The sequence below is a fragment of the Homo sapiens genome, chromosome 7 (genome assembly GCF_000001405.40).
Source record: "Homo sapiens chromosome 7, GRCh38.p14 Primary Assembly".
NCBI lineage: Eukaryota > Metazoa > Chordata > Mammalia > Primates > Hominidae > Homo > Homo sapiens.
Window position 1 is genome coordinate 42,185,909 of NC_000007.14, and position 26,064 is coordinate 42,211,972.

A 26,064-nucleotide genomic window follows, 5' to 3' on the forward strand; every position below is an offset into this window, starting at 1 on the left:
TGGGCCAGGGCAGCCATTTCAGCAACTCTTGGCACACACTGGGCCTATTTGGACCAGCAGCTAAGAACTTAGCCTCACTGTCACCATGCATTATGCAAATGATCACATAAGCCAGACCATATCGTCAGCAATCCCAGGTATAAAACACAGCCTTAAAACGTGGCTCAGCATATGAGAACCAAATAGCGAACTTACCATGGGCTTATGCTGCAGAAGCTGGTGTCTAAAACGAAAAACAGTAAAATCTCAGCTCCTCTCAACAACTTTCCCTGACAACCCTCCTCCAATCAAATAATTTCATATTCCTCCTTCCAGCTCCCCAGAGCACTTTCAAAGTCTCTCAACCATAATATTCTTGGCATGGTATTATAACTGAATGTTTAGGTACTGCGTTTCACCCTAGTTGGAATTCCTTAAAATCCACCCTCTCCGCCTTGGTTAGCACCCCTAGTGGCCAGCACCGTGCCTGGCGTATAGCAGGTACCCATGAGAGACTCACAGAAAGAATAATGACGTTCTTGATTTTGCAAGAAAAAAAGTATTTGAAAGGCCTTTTGAGAGTCTCAAAACAAGATCATGTGCTCACAAGAAGGCACAGATGAGACACCTGAAAAATCACATGAGCACCCAGAGGCAACAGCAGCGGAATGACAACTGCCCTGCCTGGGGACAACACCCCTGACCATCAGTGCAACTGCACTATGGAACGCAAAATTCAGGGTCTTTCAGGCCTTAGTCACTGGAAGGCCCACAACATTTACAACAAATCCAGTTGCCTAAATAAACCTAGACAAACATCATCTTTGAAAATAATATATCCTAGATCTAAATGCCTGAATTTTCAGTTAGTTCAAACAGACTTCTGGTTCTACACCAGATCAACTTTTATAAACCACCACATCTCATTTTCATGATATCTACATTTTGGGATTAAATAAAATAATGGCTAAAGTGAGCTTTTAAATGTTTTGGAGCCATCTAGAATAAACCTGACAAAATAGCATTAAAAATGATCATGATGGCTGGGTGCTGTGGCTATGCCTATAATCCCAGCACATTGGAAGACTGAGGCAGGAGGATTGCTTGAGCTCAGGAGATTGAAACCAAACTGAGCTATATAGTGAGAACCTGTCTCAAAAAAAAAAAAAGTTAATTAGCTGGGTGCGTTGGCACAGGCCTGTGGTCCCAGCTACTTGGGAGGTTGAGGTGGAAGGATCACTTGAGCCTGGGAGGTTGAGGCTACAGTAAGCCCCGATCATGCCACTACACTCAAGTCTGAGTGACAGAGTGAGACCCTGTCTCAAAAAAAAAAAAAAAACATGAAGAAGAGTATTAGCAATAAAATTATTTTAAAACGCTATTCACCCCATATCTAAGTAAACCCCAAATACATTTTCTTTTGAAAATGTTACAGTGAAGTTTGATATCTAGGATATTATTGTTTAATATTTGTATTAACAAGGAAGAAGAAATCAAGAATAAGTTTATCAAGTTTATCACTGAAGATGATGGCAACATAAGAGGAAAGGGTGAAAGTTCATTTATCATCATTCCTGTGGCTGCTGCTTGGTATTATTAATTTTCTAATAAGATTTTCATTATTTTTTAAAGCTGAGTAACAAAAGAAAATAAAAATCAGGCAATCATGCTAGATTGAATAGTGTCCTCCCCAAAATTCATATCCACCAAGGACCTCAGAATGCGACCTTATATGGAAACAGCATCTTTGCAGATGTAATTTGTAAGATGAGGTTATACTGGATTAAGGTGAACCCTAAATCCAATTAGTGGTGTCCTTACGAGAAGGCCAGCAGAGCCGGGCACAGTGGCTCACACCTGTAATCCCAGCACTTTGGGAGGCCGAGACCGGTGGATCACAAGGTCAGGAGATCCAGACCATCCTGACTAACATGGTGAAACCCCGTCTCTACTAAAAACACAAAAATTAGCTGGGCGTGGTGACAGGCACCTGTAATCCCATCTACTCAGGAAGCTGAGGCAGGAGAATCGCTCGAACCCGGGAGGCAGAGGTTGCAATGAGCCGAGATCGCGCCACTGCACTCCAGCCTGGGCGACAGAGTGAGACTCCATCTCAAAAAAAAAAAAAAAATAGGCCAGCAGACACTAAAATACACATAGAGGGGAGAACATCATGTAAAGATAAAGGCAAAGACTGGAGTGATGCATCTACAAGCCAAGCAATAGCAAGGATGGCCAGTGGCTCCCAGGAGATGGAAGAGGCAAGGAAGAATGCTTTTCTAGAGCCGTCAGAGGGAGTATGGGCCTGCAAACACCTTGGTTGCAGAATTCTGGCTTCCAGAACTGGAGAGAGTAAAACCACCCAGTTTGTGGTAATTTGTTATAGCAGCCTAGGTAAACTAACTAGGTGGAAAGGTCTCTATCCTGGCATCTATTGTATTGAAGACGACTAATAATATAAATACACACACCGCTGGTAAAGGGTAAGTTGAGTTAGCTCTTCTGAATATGTATTAAACCCTTAACATGTAACTATTTCTTGATCCAGCAATTCTACTTTAAGGAATTTATAAAAATAATCAGAGATAGGAACAAAAAATCAGCTACAAGGATAACCACCACCTGCTTTTATATCAGTAAAAAGAAAAGTAAAACATGAACACACCACAGAGATTATAGCAGCTTTATTCATAATTGCCAAAACTTGGAAACAACCAAGATGTCCTTCAGTCGGTAATAAATAAATACATCCAGACACTGGAATATTACTCAGTGCTGAAATGAAATGAGCTATCAAGTCATGAAAAGACATGGAGGAAACTTATATCACTAAGTGAAAGAAGGCAGTATAAAAAGTCTATGTACTATATGATTCCAAATATATGGCACTCTGGAAAACGCAAAACTGTGGAGATCACTGTTTGCTAGGGGTGGTAGGAATGGATGAGTGAAGAAAGGGAAGAACTGGTAGAGCACAGGGGATTTTGAAGGCAATAAAACTACTCTGTATAATACTATAATGGCAGATACACATCACTATCCATTTGTCCAAACCCACAGAATGAATGGACAACACCAAGAGTGTCCCCTAAAGTAATCTATGGACTTTGGGTGATAATGCGATGTCCATGTTGGTTCACCAGTTGTAACCAATGTACCTCTCTGGTGGAGGATGTTGACAGTGGGGGAGGTTGTGGCTGTGTGGGGGCAGGAAGGCATATAAGAAATGTCTGTATCTTCCACACAATTTTGCTATGGACCCAGTACCACTCTAAAAAATAGTCTATTTTTTAAAAAGAATGCCTTAAATAAGCAACAATAAAGGACTAATAAAATAAACTATAATCCAGCCAATCAATGGGATGTTTAGAAAAGAACAAACTTAGAACAATCATCAATCAAGAGAGAACATGCAACGTACAAAAATCCTAAACACATTCACACAACAGGGAGATGGTTGTAGAAAGTCACCCTATTTAAAAACAAGATAGAAACAGATATTAAACCACTAAGGTGAATGACTTCATCAATAGTTAGCATTTCAGAACTCCTTCCTGTATTGAGTACTAATCATACCCTTATAAAAGCAAGGAGTCTTTTGTTCTCCATTTTTAAAAGCTAATCAGGAAAAGCTGTAATCAGCCAAAATCAAAATAAAACTATCAGTGGAAGAAATAAAATATGGAAGGTTCAGATACTCTAACATGTATCTTCAAGCATGTAAAAGATTACTAAGAACACCCACTTTGTACTCTGATGGCTTTGAAGAATAAAGGGGAGGAAACAGGCTCAAAACACAGCAAGTAAGACCTGATGACACAGAAGTGAGAATGTTCTTACCAAAACTTGACAGAGTGCTGGAGTAAATTAGCAAGGATAGCAGGAGTCTCTCTTCCTCTCTGCTGATTATTAACAACAGGATGAATCATTTCCTTTCTTGGATTATAAGAAGCAAGTCTGAATCAATTACTCTTGAAGTATTTTCAAAATCTATCATCATCTAATATTATACCAAGATAGATTCGGATATATCCTATAATGAACATTCATGCCCAAGCAACACATATATGTGTGCATGGGCTCAACACACACACACACACACACACACACACACACACACACACACACACAGAGAACTATATTTTGCAATTACATAGGGAAAATGTTTAAAGGTATTAACATTTGCAAATAATATTACCAACAGTCATTTTATGCAGTAACAAAGTCAGCGGCATGAATATCATCTTACTGTCAAAAAAAAAAAAACAGTATATGGAATCATTTTTACAAGTTGAAAAAGGTAAGAAGTGAAAATAACAACAATGGCAAAAATAAGTTATGATCTGGAAAAAATGAAAACCATTAGAATTTATAAATATATCCCGAAGCAGGCTGTTTAGAGGATGGGGAACACAACAAACTAAAACACCACGGGCAAATCCACCCAAGATTAGAAAGACAGACAATACAAGCACAAACTGAAAATGGGGTGTAAACATAGACAGGAAAGAGTTGTTTGCTTTTTAAAAAAGTGTATTTCAAAATTCTATGCAATTAAATTTTAAAATCCTGATTAAATATAAGTGACCAGAATTGACTTAAGAACATATGAAAGACTCAATAACAATGGAAGAAACTGAAATAGCTCTTCAAAATTATTTCCAATAAAGGCTCCAGACTCAGACCCTGGTAGCGTTGTGTGTGAGTTTATTCAAACACTCAAGGGGCAGATGGTTTCATGTTGTGAAAACTTTTCTAGATTAAGACATATGGAAAAAATTGCAATACATTTTGAAAACAAATGCAATCTCAATACCAAATCTAGTATTGTGAGGACAAAAAAGAAAAACTAAAAGTCAAAACTATGTATGGACACACAGCAAAAATACTAAGATACTAAATACAATACTAGCATATCAAGTTATACCAAAGTCTAGAATCAAATAGACCTTATACCAGAAAACATGATTAGAAATATTATGAAAAAACATACAAAGATCATCAATAGGTCAAAGGAGAAAAATTATATATCATAAAAGCAAGAGATGATAAAAAGTAATTGATAAAATTTAATACTTTTTTTAAAAAAAAGAATGAAACCCAAACTAGAAAGACATTTCCTTAACCTGATAAAAAAAATAATATTAAAGTAACAGCCAAGATAGTTATGGTCATTATTAATCACTATTATCCAGGAAGTTGAAGCCAGTTCAATGTTACATAAAACAGAAATACACTATACAGCAACTGAAAGGAAAATAAAAATATTATTATTGGCAGATAGTATTATAGACTAATCTGGAAAGCACAGAAGATGTAACAGAAAAACGATAAGACAAATAAAACATTTAGTATAGCCATAAAGTTGAAAATAAACATGCAGAAATCCATAGCTTTTCTGTTCACCAGCAATTACCAGTCAATAAAAATAGATAATAATAGCCGGCCGTGGTGGCTCTCGCCTATAATCCCAGGCAAGGATTCATTCAATGAATCCATTGATCCATTGAATTCATTGATTCATCCTTTGGGAGGCGGGCAGATAACCTGAGGTTGGGAGTTCAAGGCCAGCCTGACCAACATGGAGAAGCCCCATCTCTACTAAAAATACAAAATTAGCTGGGCATGTTGGTGCATGCCTGTAATCCCAGCTACTCGGGACGCTGAGGCAGGAGAATCGCTTGAACTCGGGAGGCAGACGTTGCGGTGCCGAGATCACACCACTGCACTCCAGCCTGGGCAACAAGAGCGAAACTCCGTTTCAAAAAATATATATATATATATATAATATTTTTTGAACACATACTAACTGCCAGAAACAGTGTTAAGCCCTTAACATATTAACTCACTTACTTTTCACAATAACCCTATGAAGTAGATACCATTACTGTCCACCTTTTAAAGGTGAGAAAACCAAGACTTGGAAGAATTAAATATCCTGCCCGAAGTCTCACTGGTAGCCACAACAGAACCAGTAGTAGGTTCTGGCAGTGTGAATGCAGAGTCCTCATGAGAATCCATTTTACCATACTGCTCCCAATTAAGCCAAAAGGTCATACAAGCTAAACTGCCAAGAATAAACCAAACAATAGCCAAGAAAGACATGCGACCCATGCAAAAACATGAAAAAATTTAAACTTCTACAATCACAGAAAAAAAAAATCCTATTTGAACAGAGACATGTCATATTTCACAATAGGAAAATTGTACCTTATAAAAATGTCAATCCCCTTGAAAAATAATAGATTTAACACAATTCCAATCGCAATCTATAGAGATAGCATTTATTTTTGTTGATGCTGTGTTTTGCTTGGAGTGAGGCGGAGTTTAATGAGGTGACTCTAAAGTTCATCTAGTAAAAATGTGAGTAGCCAGCCAAGAAATTGCAATCATAGATACAAAAATGTCCTCTAAGATGCTAGTCACTGGAATCTCCACACTTGGGTCCATGCAGCATCTCTTCCTGACCATCAGCTTCCTAACAGAGTTCTGCCTACACCTTTGGTGGCTCCTTAGTTTTAAGAAAAATAAAATACGTAAGAACCAACAAAACCTGAGACAAGGTATAGATAAAGACAAAAGAAAAGATGCTAAAATTTAAAACAGCTCATGTATTAAAGTGATGAAATTATATTTGACATCTACTCTTTGGCCTTCAAACTTTCTTTAACAAGTCCTTATCATAAAAAGTCTAACAAAACAAAAAAGAACCAAAGAGAGATGGGGGCGCTGGAAAGAGGATGATAAATGTGAAAAACAAACTCTAATTTTACAACATTCTTTCTTCTGTTGAAAATGTTTAATCTGGAAAATCAAGGTTCAGGAATCATTCTGCAGCTGTGTTAAAACAGGAGGGGAAGGCCTCCTAATCTCTGCTTAAGCATACCTTGGGGTCCACTTCAGGGCCACCCCCTTAGAGCACCACCTTGAATTCGTGCCTTTGGCAGTCCCTTCTCTACCACTTAGCACCAAATTATCTAGCATCTTGTCCTCTAATTACGTGCAAACAGGCAACGAGAACCAGCAGGACCTGAGGCCAGCCTGTCTCCAGCCTTGCACAGACCACAGGCCCCAGGGGCCCAGCACCCAGAAAGACTTGATGATTAAGAGACTGCAATCCAGGGCTTTGATGGCCCCAGCAAGTTTAGGGTTTCAAAAAAGGGGGGAAACGACCACATCAAAAAGGTGACGATTTTTTGACTCAGCTCCAGAGTTTTTAAATATTATGTTTCTAAATAAAGTAAATGGATACTCTAGAGAAACAGCTCAAGGAAGGTCACAGAGAGGCACAACTACTTGAGACTTGATAAATCAAATAAACAATGAAGCTGAGCAAAGGAAAGCCGAGAGCACATTACAGACCCTCTTGCCTTTTTGTTTTTCCATTAAGGAGCTGTTCTTATAAACAATGAGCCCATTCAAAAGGGGTTTAAAAAAATCCCTCGAGGAAGCTTCTATCTCCTCCACCCAGAGAGCTGCTCTCCCTTTCCTCCTGCCTGTGAAAGCCTGGCCTCCAGGAACACACTCTGCCTGAGCTCGGAAGGACACACCTTTGATCTAGAGTTCCAAGAAAAAAAAAAATCCTGACTCAAATTACTCAGGAATTCTATTGGTAGCAAAAGGTGAGAGAAAATTAAAAGTCTCCACATAAAATTAATTTGTTCTCAGGTGGGACGTTTTCTCCCATGCCCAGCAAGGAGCAGAGGTTTTTGTGTTTTATGACTTTGATGAAGAACTATCTGAACACCCACATCCACCCAAGGCCTGGTTTCTGAATGCAGCTCCTTTTTAACTCAATATTACCTGTGGTTTTCTCATGGTTTCCTGGATATAAATCAAACAGGCAGTCAGCACAGACCCCATCCCATCTTATTTTTATTTCTTTAAAAAATAACTCTTGATTACGAAATATTCCAACATACAGAAAAGTACTAAAAAGGACATGCTAGTTATCCACGTTACCTACAACTCAGATTTAAGGAATGTTAGCATGTTCCCATATTTGCCTCAGATAACTTTAAAGAAAATAAAACAGATACCGCTAAAGCTCCCCTCCTCCGTCCCCTGAAAACGTACTCCCTCCCTCTCCAGAAGGACAAAAATAGCAAATAATGTAAGTCAGTATGTACATTTCCTGTGGACTTTCGCTTTTACTTTTTTGCCCATGATGATAGTATCGATTTTTGTATTGTAAAAATGCCTGAAGGACAGTTCCTTGCCCCTATTCCCAGCCCATATCCATTTCATACAGCAAACTGCTTGCAGAAAAACCTTTCAGCTCACACCAACTCTATTTGTCCCAGTATTGATCAACCTCATCATAGGTACACAGACCACATCAAAATGAGGACAATAAGCTTAGAGGATAATTAATTAATGAAACAGACTCATCAATATTTACATTAAGAAAGGACAGGGCCAAACTTTAATGTGTATAGTCTAGGAAGAGTCACCATATTCTCAGTTAGCCAAGCTCCCAGGAGGCAGCACTTTTTGCTCTATCTGCTTTCGGCATTGTTGTCCCAAGGGGTTCAGGCCTACATCCAACTTTTCTGGCTCTGCTTCTTGGACTTCATCCTTTCCCAATTAACATCAACAGTTCCAACTCAAGTCTCTTTTCTAAGTTTCTGAGCTTTATATCCAGCCACTTGGATGCCCTCCAGCTTAACCTGACAAATTTGGGGTCATCATTGTCTCTAAATCTGCTCTACTCCCGTCTGTCTTAGCGAACGGCATTCCATCTACCCATGAAGCCCTAGCTAGAGAACCAGGTAGCATCTTTGACTCTCCTTCCTCCATCCCCAGAGTCCTACTAAGCCCTGTCAATTTTAAACTAACATGTCTCTAATGCATCAACTTCTCTCTCTGTCTCTTTTTTTTTTTTTTTTTGGAGTCGGAGTTTCACTCTGTCACCTGTCACCCAGGCTGGAGTGCAGTGGCATGATCTCGGCTCACTGCAACCTCTGTCTCCCAGGTTCAAGCGATTCTCCTGCCTCAGCCTCCCGAGTAACTGGGATTACAGGCACCCACCACCAGGTCTGGCTAATTTTTTTATTTTTAGTAGAGACAGGGTTTCACCATGTTGGTCAGGGTGTTCTCAAACTCCTGACCTCAAGTGATCTGCCCACCTCGGCCTCCCAAAGCGCTGGGATTACAGGCATGAGCCACTGTGCCTGGCCTCTAATGCGTCAACTTATCTCACCCCCACTGCCACCAATGAAGTCTAAGCCATCACCAGTCTGCACTTGAGTTAATGAAGTAGCCTCCTAATGGTCTCCTGTCTTCTGTGTTGCCCCACTAACCTATTACATACACTGTAGCTTGAGTCATATAACACCAATACAAACCTATCTCCCATCCTTGAACACTGTCATGTCTGCCTTAAGGATAAAATGAAACAGGGCTTCTTAGGCATTCATAAGCTAGACTCTATTTAGCCAGCTTCGTCAAAACATACCACCTCCCACTTCCATTCCCCAGTCCCAGTAAGGTGATTTCAATTGCTTGATATACAAGGTTCCCTTTTACCTCTGGAAAGTCTGCCCAACAACCCCGTTTGTCTGGAACATAACCTCCCTTTGTACCTGCCTCCTCACATCTGTTTTTACAGTGCTTTTTCTGATTCTTTCATAAGTTTCAGCTTGCATACCTCTTCTTCCAGGAAATGTCCCCAGATGCCCAGCTCTGTTCCCAATGGTGCCAGTGCCCCCACTAGGTCCTCTCATATCCCTGCAGTGTTGCTCTATTGCGGCAATCATCACAATTTATTAGTATAGCTTATTTAATAATCAAGCTTCACCACCAGACCATCTATTCCCTAAGGGCAGAAATTATTTGTTTAATTCACTCCCTCAGTACTTAGCACAGTATTGGCACATAGGACATACATGAAAAATACCTACTGAATGCATGAATTAATGGGTGGATGGACAGATGAGTAAGTATTCAATAAATCTGGTTTGCTATCTTCCTCTGGCAGGATAGAAGGGCCAAATGAGCAGACACAGTGTGTCAGTTTCTATGTATCTTGGCTCTAACTAGAATGCTACAATTAAATGTAATTCCTTTTTTGATCATTTTTCATACATGACTTTGTTGCCAAGTTGTGCAGGTGGAGTGTGTCCAATAAGGTAAACAACGTTAAACACAAAAATTAATGGGGAGAAAAGCAAAAACAGCCTCCCCTATCCTCACTAATATCCAACAGTACATAAATAAATAAGGTGGATCCCCAAGATTCTTCAGAAGACAATGCTGGCTCTCTTCATTTACTCATGATTAAAGACATTTTCATGGTCCTACAAAATGGGAAATATCTTTTAAAGGGACCTACCTCTCAATGCAGGTACATCGTAAATCTCTTTTAGCAGAAAGTGGTAAGGAAACATAGTTGGATTATCTAGGCTAGAGAATGTCAGTCAGCTCTTTGAATTTCAACTATTAATTCTCACCAGTGTTAAATAAGAGCTGCAGAAAATGTGGATGGGAGGGGCCAGCTTTACAGGAGACTAAATATTTTCTCTACCTACAAAGGCGTCCTGATTAACGTTGCATTGCAGAAGATGTACCTCCCAAAAAAGATCTTTTAAAAATCTACGTGTAAATAGAACACCAAAAAATATATTACACAAAAGCATCCTTCAGCATCCCCTTTTAAAGCATTAAAGATTAAATTTATATAGATTTTTAAAGAGGTCACCACCTTTGTTACTTAAAGTTCACACTATAAGTTTATCTTAGTTCCACCTTATGAACCTGGTGAAGACAACACTGCTTCTGACATGAAGATTCCAAATTTCCTCTAAAATCTCTGTTGGTACACTTGACAAGAGATCATCTTCAAAGCCGTTTCATGTCTCACTTGAGATGTTAAAAAATGCTGGACCTTTCTAATCAAGAGGGAAAGAAAAAGAAGGGAAGGAAAGCAGAAAGGATAAAAGAAGAAAAGGAAATGTATCTGAATATTGGTTGGCAGCATGTTTACTTATGGAACAAAATGGTAAAGAAGCCATCAAGTAGTATTTCTCAACAGAAAGGACATGGACAGGGAATCGACAATGTCGTGTATACATCATGTGCTTCATTTCTATTACTCCTGATGGCAACCCTTCAAGAAGTTTTATCCTCTGGATTTTACAAATAAGGAAACTGAGGCCTACAATGTAGCCCTGACTTAGGCCTTCCTGGCCCCTGATACTTAGGGCAGGACCTGAACTCACATCCGAGTCTGGCTGTCTGCAGGACCCCCGTTACTGACTGCTTTTCTCTACTATATGTGTCCCTCTTAACGTCATCAAGTTTAATCGGCTTTTCCCAGGGTCCCTAGAAAAATCAAGTCTTCACAACCTATCAACAGCTATCCAAGATCTATGCAGCTAAGAGTAATGACATAAAAATCACTCCATTTTTAGGCTTTATTTAATACACCAATACCAACCAATAGGCCTCACCTTGTGGATACCAAGATGCCCCGGCAGAAGTTACAGAGTTCTGACACTATGGTCCCTTTCTAGAGAAATGCAAGGATATTAACTTGGGCATCCTCTTCTTATTTTAATCCTCTGACTAACACAATCACAGTTAAAACAACTTGCTCTTAGAGAGCAGGGGGAGTTGACCACTGGATGGCCTTGGGGCCATATGTTCAAGCACACTCTGAATTCCTCTTCATTACGTAACTTGAAAACCAAATGAAATGTCGTGCTACTGGAGCACGGAGCCCTTACTCAGTACAGAGAAGGATGGGGGCCTTTGTCACCTGAAATTCACCACTTTGCTATGTTCCGGTCAGCGGGAGGTACAGTTCGCTACTCACAGGCCTAAAAGCAGTGTCGGGCTTAGCTACCCCAGACAGGAGAGTCAGCGCCTGCTCATGCATTGAGACTGAAACAATGGTCTGGGCGTCACAGCAGCTGTGCAAATCCCTGAAAATTCAGTCCACGTTAACGCAAGGCTCTCGCTCTACATAACCTTCAGGAAGCCCACGTTGATGTGTTTAAAGGGAACCAGTCAAAGATGGTGAATCAGACTGGAGGCAGGGAGCAGAGAATCATGATTCGGGTACATATAGGTGTGGCCGCCCCAAATAAATGGCCCAAGCATCTACTCTGCAAACGCATCTTAACCCAAAGCTAGACTGGAGCATTTTATTCCCTGAAGGGAGTAAAAATTATCCTAAATTCTTCCAGGTGTGGCTTAAGGTCATTTTTATACCTACTCATTCATTCCACAAATATTTATTGAGCCCCTGCACTGTGGCGGCCCCTGTTCCAAGCACTGAGACACTATGTGAAGGACACAGGACAGGCTCATGGTTCTTACATTCTGCACAGAGACAGAAAGTAAACACGCAAATGTGCAAAAAATGGAATAACTGCATTGAGTGATTGGTTCCTTAAAGGAAAAATGAAGGGAAATGTGACGGGAAGCCCTGGGCCAGGGCAGGTTCGGAGCTTCAGAGAGGCAGTCAAGTGTCTGAGGCTGGAGAGTGAGAAGGATCCAGGAGCACAAGCGAGAAAACACTCACCATGAGGTGAGCTTTCCCAACTCCACTGCTTGCCTGAGGAGCCGTCCTGAGATCTCCGTTGCAGAGCCAATCCTGGGGATGCTGAGCTCCGGGGATGTGGGAGGACTGCATGACTGTACTCACAGGCCAGGACAAGTTCTGTTTATTTTCCAAACACCCTCTACCTCATCTGAAGGTGGTTTGGCAAGACCTGGAATCAGGGCCTTCTAGGCAAATGGCTGTGACCTTCCTAAAGGTATCAAGACTGTAGAACTTCCCTTAAGGGATTAATGTAGTATCTAAAATTTTTAAAAATCAGTACTTCCCTCTAGGGCGCAACTTTGATACCTCCTTGAGATGCATATGCACACACACACATACACACACACACACAAACACACAGGCGGCACACACAGATTAACTCTCTTGCAGAAAAAAAATGTTAGATGGTGGCACTTTAAAAACAACCAGATGAGACATAATTAATGGTGTCAAAAACACATAACTTAAAATACTCAAACTCTAAGAAAAAGTTTCTTTTTTTTTTTTTTAACTAAAAAGAAAAGACTTGGGACAATTTCACTGCCAACTAAAATGACAAGGCATTTTTTCCCCAAAATTTATTATGATGATAGATAACAAATGGCATCTATAAAGCAGTCAGTTAACAACGAGAAACAAAAGAAGAATACACTGAGAATACTAGGAACAGAGTTATAAAAATGCCAGTTAGACATGCAAGAAGCAGCAGGGCTTTGAAAACGCACAAAGCTGGATCCAAATGTTAGATGTGGTTTTAGCTACTCACCGCAAAGCTGGGTTACTAACATTTCTAAAATTTCTGAAAATGATTTTCAGGCCTCTAGCCTGCTTTGGAGCAGATGAAAATTTTCCATTGTTGATCCACAGACATTAGTATGCAAGGTAAATAACAGGCATCAGGCAAGATATCTATTTCTAATAAGTTTACAGAAAGCACATTAAAAGCCCGTTAGAACTCTGATTTACCTCAATACACACAGGCAGAAAACCAGAGTACGGGCACACAAGCAGGACTCCCCTTCCAGTTCCCCTGTCTCACCAAGCAGGTTACAGTCCCAGCTGGGGCAGACAGCTCTACCTCAACTGCTTTCGTTTTTACAGTGAGTTTTTATATGCAATGGTTGTCATGCAAAAGTAGAAGGTGAACAAAAGACTGTATATATGTGCGTGTATGTGTGTGAGCACACGTGTGTCCTCTCCTTTCACCTTAGCCTAATAGCTGGACAACATGGTGAGCTCTTTGAGGGCAGGAGCCATGTCCTATCGGATTTATCCTGTGATGATGGGCTGAGGCCAAGGAGAAGATATTTAATAAAGATAAATATAAAGACCTATACCTGGCCAGGTGTGGTGGCTCACACCTGTAATCCCAGCACTTTGCGAGGTCGAGGCAGGCGGATCACATAAGGTCAGGAGTTCGAGACCAGCCTGGCCTACATGGTGAAACCCCGTCTCTACTAAAAATACAAAAATTAGCCAGGCATGGTGGTGGGCACCTGCAGTCCCAGCTACTAGGGAGGCTGAGGCAGAAGAATTGCTTGAATCCGGGAGGCGGAGGTTGCAGTGAACTGAGATCATGCCACTGCATTCCAGCCTGGACAACAACAGCAAAACTCTGTCTCAAAAAAGGACCTATACCTAAGGCCAAACAATTACTACTCAAGTCATTTTCAGCAAAGAATGGCAGAAATAAGACTTGGCAGCAGGTAGGAAAGAATACCTAGGATATCGCCTTCCGTCATGGAGGTCACGGAGAGTCAAACAGCTGTGAAACCTGGTTTCCTAATTCAATCTATCCCATTAACAGGAATAGTTTGCTCTATGGTGTATCCACCATGCCAAGCAGCCCACTTTATCCTTTCCAAAGGGACCATATGTCCAGGCCCAGGTGAACAGACAGTGAACATTCAAAGCCAACTCAGACAGGAAAAAGGTAAAAGGAATGAAGGAAAGAGACTTTGAGGCCTTATCCTTCAAATATTTGTAAGTACTTGCGGAAGAAGAATTAGCACTAACTCATGTAGATGCAGAAAGCCAGAGAACGCTCCACTACCTCCCGTATCCACTATTTTAAAGTGCCTTTGAAGGACACCAGGCAAGGAGGGGTCAGGCAGTGTTGAAGTGATGGGGAGGCAGATTTTTGCCCCACACAAGAAAGAGTGATAAATTATATCATTTTAAAAATAAAGCCAGCAAAAACAGTTTTCTTGTGTCTGAACAAATGCTTCTCATTTTGGACAGGCTGGTCTGGCAATTCCTGTTATGAGAAGGAAGGTCAGGCTTCAAGTCTTATCCTAGCTCCCTCACGACTTCTTGGGCACTGTGGGCAAATCATGAGACAGAAGACTCTCCTTTAGTCAAAACTTTTCAGAAAAAAAAAATAGGCATTTATATGTGGATTGGTTAAACCTGAGCCTGTGCAAAAACACAGGACAGACTGAAATGCATGAAAACCATTTCTAGGAGAACAGAATGCTGCCTAGTGGACACACTCTAGGACTTAAACAATAAAATTATGTGCAATTTAGTTTTAAGTAATATTAAAATTCAGTACAGTAGTCCCCCCTTATCCTCCACAGATACATTTCAGTGGATGCCTGAAACCACAGATAGTCCTGAATCCTGTATACACTAAGTTTTTTCTTATAAATATATACTTACGATACCGTTTAGTCTATCGATTAGGCACAGTAAGAGATTAACAACAATAACTAATAATAAAATAGAATAATTACAACAATATACTGTAATAAGTTATATGAATGTGATATATCTCTCTCTCTCTCTGTCTCTTTCTGAAAATATTTTCTTGTACTGCACTTACTTATTTTTGGACCATGATTGACCATGGGTAACTAAAACCTCAGAAATAGAAACCTTGGGTAAGGAGGGACTCCTGTAATAAATGTCCAAAACTGCTGGGCAATTGACAGAATCAGTCCATCGGGTAGAAACTGTTACTGCCACAGCTAAGGGACAGGTTAAGTACTTTATTCCAAGACCCAAAGCTAGTAGGTGGCCACAAATCATGATATAGAATAGCCCTCACATACACATAGACAGACACACTAGCGCAAAGAAACCAGAAGTCACTTTGGGGCTGTACTGTCATGCAAGGATGGGAACACATTCTGGGAAATGTGTCGTTAGGCAATTTTGTTGTGAGAACATTATGGAGTGCATTTACATGGACCCAGATAGTAGAGCCTACTACATACCTAGGCTGTATGGCATAGCCTGTTGCTCCCAGGATACAAACCTGCATAGCATGTTACTATACTGAGTACTGTAGGCAACTGTAACACAATGGTATTTGTGTATCTAAACATAGTTAAACATAGGAAAAGTACAGTAAAAGTACCGTATTGGCCGGGCGCCATGGCTCACACCTGTAATCCTAGCACTTTGGGAAGCCGAGGCGGGCAGATCACAAGGTCAGGAGATCAAGACCATCTTGGCCAACATAGTGAAACCCTGTCTCTACTAAAAATACAAAAATTAGCTGGGCATGGTGGCGTGCGCCTGTAGTCCCAGCTACTCAGGAGGCTGAGGCAGGAGAATCGCTTGAACCCAGGAGGCAGAGGTCGCAGTGAGCCAAGATCACGCCACTGCACTCCAGCCTGGAGACAGAGCAAGACTCCGTCTCAAAAAAAAAAAAAAAAAAAATACGGTATTATAATCTTATGGGACAACTGTCATATATGCAGTCCATTGTTGATCCATCATCTTCATGTGGCTCATGAATGCATTTTTTTAAAAACATTTAATACTTAAAACTGATGGTAAATGAAAATTATAATGGGATTCCAAAGATAGAGGCATTGGCCCCTCTTTGGTCTGTGTTCTCTCCAAAAATCTGACCTCACCTGAAATTCATAGAATCTGTCTCTCTCTCTCTCTCTCTCTCTCTCTCACACACACACACACACACACACACACACACACACACTCACACACACACAGGGCAAATCAGTATACTACACAGACTCACTAAACATGCTTCCTGGTTCTAAAAACATGTAAGACAGCAATTCCACTAAAACTAGTGATTAATATCAGAGCAGTAGTCAGTATCGATTGTATTCATTTTATGTCAATGATCAGGTAGCATCACTAAGAACGAAGGCAAGGTTATGGGTTTCATGTCCACAAAAGCTATGTTCGTAAATGCCATCTTGCACAAATAAATGGCTAAGTGCCCTCACAAGCATGCACATCACCAGGCTGATGGGCTGAGAGCAGCCAGGTGAATGCATCGTCTTTTGCCAGTGTCCTCCAGGCCCCCAGGCTGCCATCCTTAACTTAGGACAGCCTCCTGTTTTCTCCGCTCTGTTAGAAGCTGCAGTGAATGGACGGGGGTCCCACTGACGTCATCATAAAACCACCACACCAACCTCAGGGGGCCCCCAACATGACTGTAAGTCCCACTCTTATGCACTCAGCATCTTTTCCCATTCCTCACAAAGACAGTTCAAAATATTCACCATTCCTAAACCCAATTCTTCTATTCATATCAGCCTTCACAATCTCATGCTAAAAACTAGGGAAAGGAGGAGCTGACCATGGGAGGCATGAACATTCCCACCCCAGTCTTGAAGAACAAGTGCGAGGGGGCTCTGATTTCCTCCCTCCTACAAATTGTTTTATTTATTTGTTTGTTTACTTATTTATTTTAAATTGACAGAAAAAATTGTGTGTATTTATTTAAACATGATGTTTGAAGTATACATACACACACATTGTGGAACAATTAACTCTGCTTAATTAGAATGTGCATTACCTCACATAATTATCATCCTTGTGGTGAAAACATTTAACATCCACTCTCAGCATTTTTCAAGAATACAATGTAGGGTCATTAACTATAGTTACCATGCCGTACAATAGCTCTGTTGAACTTATTCCTCCTACCTAACTGTAATTTTGTATCCTTTGACCAACATCTCCCCAGTCCTGTCCCCCAAGTGCCCCATCCTCTGGTTACCTACTACCATTCTACTCTCTACTTCAATTTTACCTCCCACATATGATGAGAACACATGACATTTTTCTTTCTGTGCCTGGCTTATTTCACTTGACATAATGTCCTCCAGTTGCATCCATGTTGTCAAAAATGACAGGATTGCCTTCTTTTTAATGGCTGCATAGTATGCCACTATGTATATAACACATTTTCTTTCTCCATTTGCCCATGGACATGGGTTGATTCTGTATCTTGCCCATTGTGAATAAGGCTGCAATGAACATGGCACTGCAGATATCTCTTTAAAATATTGATTTGAGGCTTGACATGGTGGCTCATGCCTGTAATCCCAGCAGTTTGGGAGGCCGAGACAGGCAGATCATTTGAGACCAGGAGTTTGAGACCAGCCTGGCCAACATGGTGAAACCCTGTCTCTACTAAAGATACAAAAGTTAGCTGGATGTAGTGGTACAAGCCTGTAATCCCAGCTACTTGGGATGCTGAGGCAGGAGAATCGCTTGAACCCAAGAAGTGGAGGTTGCAATGAGCCGAGATCGTGCCACCGCACTCCAGCCTGGGGTGAGACTCCATCTCAAAATATATATATATTACTCTCTTCCCAGGCCTCCTGATCACATTCATTCTCCCCACTCCAAACCATTTTTCCCACTAGGGCCGAAGGGTAGTTTTTAAAGCAGATGGTATCCCACCACTCTGCTCTTCCCACTCACATGAAGGATGGAGCCCAAAGTGTCTAGCATCGCCTTCATGGGCCTCCACCAATAGGACTCATATACCTCTCCATTCACATTCTCTGCCTCCATCCTCCTCTCCCCAAACCATGCCTATCCAACAAGCAACCTACCCTGATTGGTACCATTTCCCCAAACCACCGAGAATGCTCATGCTTTAAGTATTTGCTTCTACTGCTCTCTCAACTTACAATGCCTTTCTCCAGCCCCCAGTTCCCACTCCTGTCTTCCCCCTGCCATCACTATTGACATGTGAAGGATTTAACTCCTCACCTCTTCTGTGAGACTTTCCTTCATACTCTATAGATGTTGTTTACATTGCACTTAATAAGTGTACTGAATTTTGCTAGTTTACTTATCCAATTATAAATATCTTAACAGCAGGCCCCACATTTTGTTATCCTCACAATCAAATAAAGTGCCTGGCACTTAGCACAGCCTCAATAAGTGTTTGTTGACTATGGAAGCACATCAGTAAAAATAATCCTTACACTTATAACTGCAAAGGAGTTCAGAAAATAGATGGTCCAGGGTTTTCTATATTTTATTTCCCTAAATTCTGTCCCCAACCTCTTTCTGAGCTTGATTCCATTTGAGTATGCTAAGGAAAAAAGAAAAGTTCTTATGAGACAGAATTCTCCTGGACCAGGTCTAGACATGAAAAGTTCTATTGTATGCACGACTTCCCCGAGACTCTCCTTCGGGAAAGGAAGGAAGTTCAAATTTCTCTGTGGGCTGGCAAATTTTCTGTACTTATTGACATGGCTATGATAAATTTGTATCTCCTCAGACAAAAGGCCAACCAAACGCTGCATGATTTAAAATTTGGAGAATAAACAAGAGCCATGTCTCTCAATGACTTCCAAAAGCTTTCAGCAGCAGGTTGTGGGTGTGCTTTCAAGTGTACGAAGTTGAGGCTTAAGAAACTGCTGGAATTACACCTCAGACGGTGACACTTCTTATCTTTGAAGGGATGTATAGCCTGCTATGTGGTGTTCTTAAAGGTGTTTGTGATACTTTTTATAAGAATCCACCTCATACATACGCATCCTAGCAACATACCATGTACGGAACTGAGACCACATCCTACACATACCTTCTCTCTTTGATTTGACAACCAGCATTATCTTAAGTCTGGCACCTGTAAGTCATTAGTTGACTAAGGTTACCCTAAAGTTAGGGTAACTTAAGGTCAAGGGTAAGAGCTCCAATATTCCTTTGGCCTTTTCCACCACTATTAAGTAACTCCCAGCAACAACAAACAAATAACAAACAGCCTCAACCCACTCCTAATCCTTGTCCTTGGCACTGACAGATTTCAGAAGAAAAAGTCACCAAACAACAGATGCCACTCTCAAAGAACAGAGAGGGCAGCTGGTGTGACTTAATAAGCATGCAGCCCACTGTAGAGAAGCTGGAGAATCGTACTTTTCCTGAGCCAATATAAGAGGTGTTTACATTAACCAGAGTACTCATCAACGTACCTGCAACTTTCAGTTCAAGACAGATGAGACAAAAGTAAAACTAAATTGCTTCCAGAACATGTTAAAGTATAAAAGGTGAAAACACAGCAAACACCTGTTAGGTCTTGCCAACTGTTATTTCCTACGTATTTTCTTATAAGTGACAGATTTTTTTAAAACACTTCTAAAGATAAATGCAAAATGTAAACACCAAAGCAAGTGTGCATTTGTGTGGCTTTGATATACGCCTGGGAAGAGAGTAACCTTGTGAGAATGCCACAGAAAAACGACTAAGATTGCTTCCCACAGCCAATATAATTACAATAAAGCCCAATAAGTTAGCTTAATATAACACCAGACTAAATTCTGAAGGGGTTAGGTGCAGTGGCTCATGCCTGTAATCCCAGCACTTTGGGAGGCTGAGGCTGGTGGATCATCTGAGGTCAGAAGTTCGAGACCAGCCTGACCAATATGGTGAAACCCCATCTCTACTAAAAATACAAAAATTAGCCAGGCGTGGTGGTGCATGCCTGTAGTCTCAACTACTCAGTAAGCTGAGACAGGAGAATTGCTTGAATCTGGGAGGTGGAGGTTGCAGTGAGCCAAGATAGCACTACTGCACCCCAGCCTGGGCAACAGAACGAGACCCCATCTAAAAAATAATAATAATAATAATAACAATAATAATAATAATAAATTCTAAAGGGATACTTTTAATCATGACGTATTTCAGAGAATAACATAAGCAACATCTAGGTATCCGCCACACAGGTTTAATACATGTTAATATTTTGTTACATTTGCTTAAAACCTCTTCTCTTTAACGAAATAAGATAATACAGATAGAGCTGAACCCTCTCCATCTTGTTCCCTTTCCACTCTCCCCAGAGTTAACCACTATTAAAGAAATGATTATATCCATGCATGTTTTTATACTTTCACTTCATACATATGAATTCAATAAGTAACATAGTTCTACAAAGGTGTTCCTCAAGTTCAGCTAGAAGAAAAAATCGAATAGAAGCCAAGAGCCATTTGAAAAGGAAGAATAATAAGAGATAATGTGCATTATCAGATAAAATGTACTCTGTGTATAACATCTGAAAGAGTATGGTACAACAAAAGAATAGACAGGTTGATCATACAATAAAATTTTACAGAAAAAGAACCTAAAATATATATTAAGGCAGTAACCAATGCAGGTATCACTTCAAATCAGTGATAGAAAAACTGGTAAACAATTATCTACCCACAAAGAACTAAAAAATTTTTTAAAAAAGAGACTTCAACAGACACTTCAGAAAAGAAGATATCCAAACGGCCGATAAATATCTTAAAAAGATACTTGAGTCCCTCAGTCATCAGAGACAAATGAAACCACAACTGGATACCACTGCATAGCCCAAAGAAGGGCTACAGTGAAAAATACAGAAAATACCAAGTGTTGACACGAATGAGAAGCAAGTCTATACAACCCCTTGGGAAGAGTATTAGGCAGTGTCTACTAAAGCTAATATATGCATACCCTAGGAGACAATAATTCCACTCCTAGGTTTATGCCCAATAGAAATGTGTATTCAGATCCACCAAAAGACAGCTACCTGGCAGCCAATGTTCCTGACAGCCAAACCCTGGATGCCACCCAAATGCCCATCAGCAGTAGCGTGGATCAACAGAGCGTTTCTTTCTTGACCTGGGCTCTGTTTACATGGTGTGTTCATTTTGAGAAAATTCATCAAGCTGCTCACTTATGCTATGTGACTTTTTAATCTGTGTATTGTATTTCAATTAAAAAGTTTAAAAAGCGAGGTAAGGTTTTCACCTATCCTATCTTCTTTTAAAATATTTCACTAATGTTGATACGTGTTTCTGAAAATGAGCACTCACATAAACAGCTGATGGAAATATAAGTTGCTGTGTTTCTTGGAGCTAATTGGGTAAGATGTAGTCAAAGCACACAGTTTTTTTGGAAGGAATTTCATCACATCATTATTCACAATTGAAAAAAAATGTGCATGTCCAATGATAGGGGATTGATTGAGTAAATTCATAGCTATTAAAGCCAAGTTGGAGAAGAGTGGTTCATGACACAGAAAATGATCCTAGCATATGGTTACCTGAACAGAGAGAAAGACTGAAAATATACCAAAGTGTTAACTTTTATTTTCCAAGTGGTGAGATTCCAGGCCAGCTTCGTGTTTTTCTTTTATGCTTTTCTGAATTTCCCAATGAGCAAGTATTCCTTTCATAAAAATAAAAGCACAGCCGAGCACGGTGGCTCACGCCTATAATCACAGCACTTTGAGAGGCCAAGGTGGGTAGAACACCCAAAGTCAGGAGTTTGACACCAGCCTGGCCAACGTGGCAAAACCCCGTCTCTACTAAAAAATACAAAAATTAGCGAGGCGTGGTGGCACGTGCCTCTAGTCTCAGATACTCAGGAGGCTGAGGCAGGAGAATCACTTGAACCTGGGAGGCAGAGGTTGCAGTGAGCCGAGATCGCACCACTGCACTCCAGCCTAGGCGACAGAGGGAGACTCCATCTCAAAAAATAAGTAGATAAATAAAAATAAAAATAAAAACACATTTAAGACAGAGGAGAGCAGGGAATAGCATGGATGGGTCTAAGGTCTCAGGCTGGAGTGAGCAGGCTATGTGGCCTTCAGTGAAGTCAGAGGCGTCCTGCATTCCTGGGGCTCCTTTAGGCTCCATTTTTACTGGAACTCTTTCTAAAATGAATTATTTTAATAATTTCTATATAATAAACCATCTAATCTTCGTTAGATGATGCAGCACCTTCTCCAAGTGTCCCTGTGAAAGTTTAGTGCCCTTGCTTCAGCTGCATCTGAACGCTGCTGCCTAACTTTTCAATAACAACGTTCCCCAGCTCCCGCCTGTAAATGCCAATCTGAAAGAATAAATTACAAATATGGGTTACTTGAGAGGTTCAGTGTTTAGGGGTCTGGTAATCAAAGTTTATTGTACTCTTGGTTTTGTTTCTTTTTTCCACTCCAAAAAGTTTAATGCAACTAAATTAGCATCAAAGAAATTTGCAAAAGCTCTAAGTGAAGCCATGATGAACTATAACTACATAAAACCAGATGCCAAACAGAAAACTATGCAAAGCACTCTATGAGGATGTTCAAGAGGTTTGAAAGAGGGCCATGATCTGGGAGGAGTTAGTCACACAAGAGTCCAAAATGTTCCTTCTGGCTGCCACACACATCTTCTTCCAGGAAGATGAGTATAGGAAGCCTGGTGGGTAATGAATAATACCAAGTCTAAATCAAGAAAACACACATTTCAGATTTCAAAGGATCAACTGCTGTTGTGGCAGCTAATTGTAATTATCAGCAATTCAGCCAGAATTGGGCAAAATCTCCCTGAATTTGTACCTGAAACTTTTATCTGTAGAGTACCCTTCAAAATACTTGCAATTTTTTTTTTAATTTTTATTTTAGAGACAGGGTCTCACTCTGCTGCCCACACTGGAGTGCAATGGCATGATCATAGCTCACTGCAGCCTTGATCTCCTGGTTCAAGTGATCTTCCCACCTCAGCCTCCCAAGTAGCTGGTACTACAGCCACCATGCCCAGCTAATTTTTTAATAATTTTTTTGTAGAGACAGGGTCTTGCTATATTGCCCAGGCTGGCCTCAAACTCCTGGCCTCAAGCAATCCTCCTTCCTTGGCCTCCCAAAGTGCTGGGATTACAAGTATGGGCCACCATGCCTGGTCTCTGGAATAGTATTTGACTCAACAATGTGATAGTACATTTTGGCCTAAACAAAATCTTCAGTGGCTTTTAACCCAAGATGGACCCATACATGTGATGTACACAGCTTAATTTAAAAGGAATTCTGAATTTCCTGTTCTAAACTTAAATTATATTAACTCATTCTTCTCCAGCTCCCCTTATTTATGGGACATCTTTCCTTTCATTTAACATTCTGCAAAATTCCTGTGGAAATTGGAGCCCCTGTCATGGAGACTTGAATATCAAGAATATCAAGGGAGAGAGAGCTCTTTAAATCATGTGACCCAAGTCCTTCGTTTTCACAGATAAAGTGATGTGCAGGCAGAATCTTTTGAATTCTTAATGTGCAACCAACTACAAAATTAGCTAGGCTACAACTATGTGATCACATCATGTTGTATATGAGAAAGACTCAGCTCCACGTTTCCTAATCACTGAGAGGTTCTCTCTCTTTTTTTTTTTTTTTGAGACAGTCTTGCTCTTACAGATCATCATTCCTCCAAAGAGAATTCTAATCATTTGACCTAAATTTTCCAAGTGAAAGTTAGAGCTCCAAATACTCCCTGTAAAGGAGAGCCTCTGGCAAATGCTGGGTCATACATCTCTTTAAGAATCTGAAAAAAAAAAAAAAAAAAAAAAAAAAAAGGGCATAGGCCCATGTCCATAAAGTGCCATGTAAAATAATTCCAAAGGGGTTCACCCATTCTCAGATGCCTCTCCATCAAGGTCAAGGGTTTTGGGATTGCTGGTGAAGACGCCCCGCTGTCGAACATGGTTCATTTCCCTTAGATTTCATATTGGGCTTCAAGTCGTTGTCACTGTGGTCAATGGTATTTGTTTACGGAGGTAGGAGCTAGGCTTTCCTAGAGCTTGAAAACTGACATTATCACCACAAGAGAGAATTTCTATAAAAATTGTACTCTTGTTTTTAAGCACATATAATCCCTCACTTCTATTCAAAAATGAAAGCCCCCCCCCCCCCCCCAAGTTAAAATAAGGTACAAAGTTATGCTGGCGTTTACCTGTAAGACTTGTACTTGTATTATTAGTATACCCCAGTATTATAAAGTTTCTATATTTGATAGAGACTCACTTTCTCCCCACCACCAACCTCCCTGCCCCCAGAGCAGTGTGAATACCAGGGATCTAGTCTGGAATAGTGACTCAGCAGTATTTTGTAGCCTGGTCCCAGCTAATATTATCACTTCTTTATTAAGAAAGGGTTTTTCTCTTCTACCCCTAACTCGCAACTCTGAACTTTTTGAAAAAGTAGTAAACGAAAATAAAACATGCTTTTTAAAAATCATATCTTTTTTTTTCAAGAAAAGGGGAGTGACAAGAGATTTGCAAATTATCTTATCTCTCTCTCTCCTTACAATCTGTTGTTGTTGAAGAGAATCAAGGCAGAGATACTTTGCATGTATCCAGATGAAGGCCTAGCAATAGGTACGTGTAGGACCATGTTTCCTCTTCAATCTAGAAAAACCAACAAACTACCTTGTGCTAAGCCAACACTAGTCACTGGCAAGAACAAGCAACAAGAGAAATTTTTCTGCTGTAACACTGCACCAGCCTGTTTAATCCTTGGATTCCCCAATATTCAGCCAGTATGTATGCTGATATGTGTGTGTGTGAATACACATGTAGACAGACAACTGAGAGATTTATAAGTATCTTTTATTTTTCCCTGAGTCATCCAGTTTTTTGGGCCAAACAGATGGATAAAAATATTCTAATTTTGTACGAAACTGATCAAAGAAAGTGCTTTGAATTTATGTGAAAAAGTTTCCCATTAAGACGGTAGCTATTTTTTTCAAGCATGATTCTTTTTAATTGCGGAAAAGAGCCGAAAGGCTTTGTCAGAGGGCACATGTTTTCTATAAATCAAAAGGTAAATAAATGTGAGATTATTTCACTGGGCATACACATGGTTTTTGCTAAGTAAACTCTATTTATAAAACATTGTTAGCCTACACAGGAACTGCTGTCAACGTTTATAAGAAAGGAACTTTTCTACTGCTCTCAAACTTGCCAGGATTTGAAAACAAGCCTAGAAACATTAGTATTTTAGGAAAGATTGAATTTAAGCTTAATGTGAAATGGACCAACGTATGTTTTCTGGTTTTTAAATGCTTGGAACAAATCTTCAATTGTATATTAGCTTCATATTTTACCAGAAAATGTTTACATTGATGTAAGTTCCATTATTTCAACCATGCCATTGTTCTAAATCTTTCTGGAAGTTCTCTTTTGGTTATAGGTAAGGGTCTCAGATTATTTTTCTTATCATTGCCACTAAAACAAAAAATATTCTGTGAAAGGGGAGTCTTCGACATTAACTAAGCCTAGTATTCATAACTGCCACGCCATGTCCTCCCAAAGGTTCATTTGCACCATCTCTTCTCTTTATTATACCCACCCTTGACCACAAACACATTTATCAGTTCTGCTCAGAGCAGTCCTCAAAATGAATTTGCTGTGAAAGGAATTAGCCATAAGCAAGCATGAAGCAAGAGTCCTAGAAAACCAACAGCAAACCAATAAGGTAATGGTAACCTTAATAATAATTTACATTCTCCATTTTCCATTCAACTTTTCTTTCT

General features: G+C 40.2%; 1 protein-coding gene across 6 annotated transcripts in view, besides 1 other annotated feature; it reads right to left on the minus strand.

Moving 5' to 3' along the window:
- GLI3 (GLI family zinc finger 3) overlaps positions 1-26,064 on the minus strand; it is a 303,320-nt gene that overhangs the window by 224,960 nt on the left and 52,296 nt on the right. The gene's annotated exons all lie outside the window — the stretch shown is intronic.
- Positions 7,094-7,681: an enhancer, noted in NCBI's record as "OCT4-NANOG-H3K4me1 hESC enhancer chr7:42232601-42233188 (GRCh37/hg19 assembly coordinates)". NCBI's record gives its function as "activates a minimal SCP1, AML or CMV promoter by ChIP-STARR-seq in naive H9 embryonic stem cells {active_cell/tissue: H9 hESC(naive)}" and the evidence as "EXISTENCE:reporter gene assay evidence [ECO:0000049][PMID:30033119]".